At 39.4% G+C, this 3,635-nt stretch overlaps 1 annotated feature.

The window, feature by feature from the left end:
- Positions 985-1,185: a silencer, noted in NCBI's record as "peak5509 fragment used in MPRA reporter construct". NCBI's record gives its function as "represses an SCP1 promoter by STARR-seq MPRAs in K562 erythroleukemia cells {active_cell/tissue: K562}" and the evidence as "EXISTENCE:reporter gene assay evidence [ECO:0000049][PMID:32103011]".

The raw sequence follows: 3,635 nt of genomic DNA, 5'->3' as shown, positions 1-3,635 counted from the left end.
TCATCACAATACCCAATGGAAAAGAGTTAAATTCCTAATGAAAATGGAAGTATTGTAAGGAAGAGGAAAAGGTTGTTGAGTGTCCTGAAAGCAACAAATACCCACTTCAAGGTGGGGAACCACTGAAGCTTTAGACAGAGCAAAAATGGCTAATGGAAAATGGCTAGCGGAGAGGAGTGGAATAGAATTTTTTTTTCAAAGCACCACGTTGATGGAGAACCACATAAGAAGATTGTTGGCTTTTACCTGCTCTTGTCAGGACCCTCTCAGTCCCAGCATATTCAAATTTCCATTGATTAGGTCATAAACTAGGTGTTCTGAACTCACATATAATTACAGAGTGAGGATAAAGAGGAATTTTTTAAGATCAGAGAGGTATTGAATAACTAGAGTTTGGAGGAAATTCATCAACAGTGACAATAGCGCAAGAATATTATAAAATCATAAACCTTGAACAAATTGTGTGAAATGCTGATCCAGAAAAGAGCCAGATGCTAAATAAAAGCCAGAGGACCCAGCCACTTTAGCTGTTTTCTCTTCCACCGCTGACTTACAGAATGGGCTAGGTTTATACGCATGGGAAATGATACTGACCAAACACACCCTGGCAGAACCTCTCTTTTTCATCTCCTTTTCCGGTTCTGAATATCCAAGCTGAACTACAACTCTGATGACATTACCTAAACACTCGTGCTTCCATATTTCCATGCCTTACTCACGTAATTTTCTCTACCTAGTATCCATCAGATAGATACAGATAAAAAACCTCAGGTTGCCAGTATGGCAACCTCCCTATAAATTAGTCTGAGTGATTCCATCAGTTAGAAGCGATTTATCCCTCTAAATTCCCATGAAATTATAAAAGTCTCTCTCATAAAGTGCTCACTATATTTTTTGTGGTTTTCTGGTTATCTTTTTAAACCTCTTATTTCCCAAAAATAAATACAAATGATCATGGACAAACTAACTGAAATCCATACCTGTAAGAAACTTACACAGTCCTTTAACTCTGTAAGTGTACATTTCTTATAAACAGGCCCAATTTAGCTCAGTAAACAGATGAGTCACTATCTCAGTCTGCAGAATGCAGAAGGATCTGCATTCAGGTCAGTGATGATCTTGCAGGTTTTCGCAAGAACCATGAAATTGTCTTGGGTTAATATAAGTACCCATTATGTTATGGGGGATTCCTCAACGCAAAGTGAGCTTCATAGGTGTTTCCATGTCCAATGAGTGAGCACTTCTGACAATTTTTAAATGACACTTTCCCCACCTTTGGAAAGACAAAAGCGTATTCCAGACTTCCAGCTCCTTGGGGTACAGACAGTGTTTGCATTAGCTCTAAACAGCTCTTGCACAGTACCTGCATGTGATAATGAGCAGCAACTCAGAACTGATGAATGAAGTCCCTGGAGACTGTGAGAAGGACTGTCCTCATTGTGGAGTAGCCAGAACATTAAGCTCTGTCTCGGAATGGGGTTAGGTTCTAGTAGAAGTGATGGGTCCATTTAAAGCCTGAGAATATTGGAGAAGTCCTTCTATAGAGGTGATGTTATCTTCTCTAAGGAGGTTGAATTCTTTCTGGTGTATTTTTCTGGAAGTCTTTCAGAGCTGTTGGGCTCATTCTCAAGGAAAGCTTTAACAGTGAGTTGTGGTTGGCTAGTCCAGCATGCTGTTCATTTTGTTCCATCTTACAATTCCCTGCACCCACACTATTAGTTACCTGGATGGTAGATAAGCATATATACATATATGTTTCATGGGGTTATTTGCTTAGCTGACCCTAGTGTACTATAATACTGAACAGGGAATTTCATGTTGACAGCCAGAAGAAATTGCTGCCATGTAAAACCACATAATAGTACCTAATCTTTCAGAAATCCCAGTTCTCTCTAATGGCGATTTTGATAGAGACAGTCAAGATTACAGAGAGACCACCAGCTAAGGGGTTCAGGCTTAGATACCCACCCCGCCGTCCCCACCGGCCACTCTTTGGTATGAACAACATGTGTCTCAAACAAATAGAGGATAACATACTTACAGATCACTGAAAGAGCATCTTGGTTAAGAGTTCCAGAGTCAGACGTGAGTTTGAATCCTGGCTCTGCAGCTCACTTACTTTGAAGTGAATCATTAAGCCTCAGGGCTTTTTCTGTCATCCGAGGATGATTTTAAAAAATAGAATATTCTTCATTGTGTTATAAAACCTAAATGAAAAAAATCTCATGTATAAAACATTTAGCATTGTGCTGATAAAATGTTCAGTAAGCACAATGTCAACGCTGATACTGCTGCTACCACTCTGTTGTTATTCCATAATCATAGACAACAGCCTATAAAGGGCATTCAGATGCTGAAGACTTTTTTCACTTGATGGCAGGCTTCATACATGAATGCTCTTCTTCCTTCCTCCCTTCTTTTTTTACCTTCATTCAAAAATCATATGCTGATAATCTGGCCAAGATGTATATTAGGTGCTAAGGATGCAATCATGAACTACACATCTCTTCTCCAAGAGGTCATAGACAAGTAGAGAGACACATAAATTCATAATGCATTGCGATAATTACAATACTAGATGCACAGTGTAAAATGGTAGCATGAAAGAAGCAATGAATAAATCTAATAGGGAAAGAATGATCAGAGGTCAAGAAAAATGAGTGCCTAATAGGCACGATGGGAAGACCATTTCAGTGGAGAAGAAAACAGGCATAAAGGTGCTATGGGTATGCTACATGGTACATTTGAGAAACCATGAGTAGTTTTGTAAACATGTTAACACCACGCATGCAGGAGAATATAGGACTTGAGGCTGGGACCCTGGCACAGAGAACTGTATGTAAAGTTTGGAATTTAGGGAAAAGACATAGATTGCTACATGTTAGAATAATGTTTCTGGTGGGAGTGGGGAGAAGGAGTTGGAAGAAGATTTGGAGGCAGGAAGATCAGGAGGACATTGCACACATCCAAAAGAGGAAAGGTGAGCTCAAGCAGTATGAGGGAAAAGAAAGAGAAGACTGAAGGGAGATAGTCAAGAAACTCTTAAGATACTTTCCACTGCAAGTTAGAGAAGATCCAATTAAAACTGCTTAAACAATAAGAAAACGTTATGAGGTATAGAAATTCTTAGGTTGGTTAAATTAGTGGCTCAGTTATCTTACTGATTTTTCTCTCTGTGGTCTAACTTGTTCCCTTGGACCTACTTCCCTCCTGGTCCCAATGTGGCTGCTGTTAATACGGTCATCACATGCAGATTCATCAACATTGATCCAAAGATAAGAAGCTATTTAATTCCACATGCTTTTATTAACAAATGTCCCCTCATTTGATAAGCCAGAATTTTATCACATGCCCATTTCTGGACCAATCCCTTGCAAGGGGAGTGGAAAGAATATGATTGGCTTAGACTAATCAAGATTCATCCAGTCTCTCCTGAAGTGCATGGCCACTAAGTACTTGAAGAAAAATGGAATTTTCTTAGAAGAAAGAAAGAAAGCCAAAAACAGCTATTGGGTAGAAAATCACTACTGTTTGTCTGCTACAGAAATCAAAATAGATAGGCCTCAGTGACCAAGTGTATGTTAAGGCCAAGGAGTTAGAGACGGCTTTAAGACTTCTGGCTTAGGCTTCTCAGG

This window comes from Homo sapiens, chromosome 5, assembly GCF_000001405.40.
Source record: "Homo sapiens chromosome 5, GRCh38.p14 Primary Assembly".
Classification (NCBI taxonomy): Eukaryota; Metazoa; Chordata; class Mammalia; order Primates; family Hominidae; genus Homo; species Homo sapiens.
This window is presented reverse-complemented; position numbering and strand designations above follow the sequence as displayed.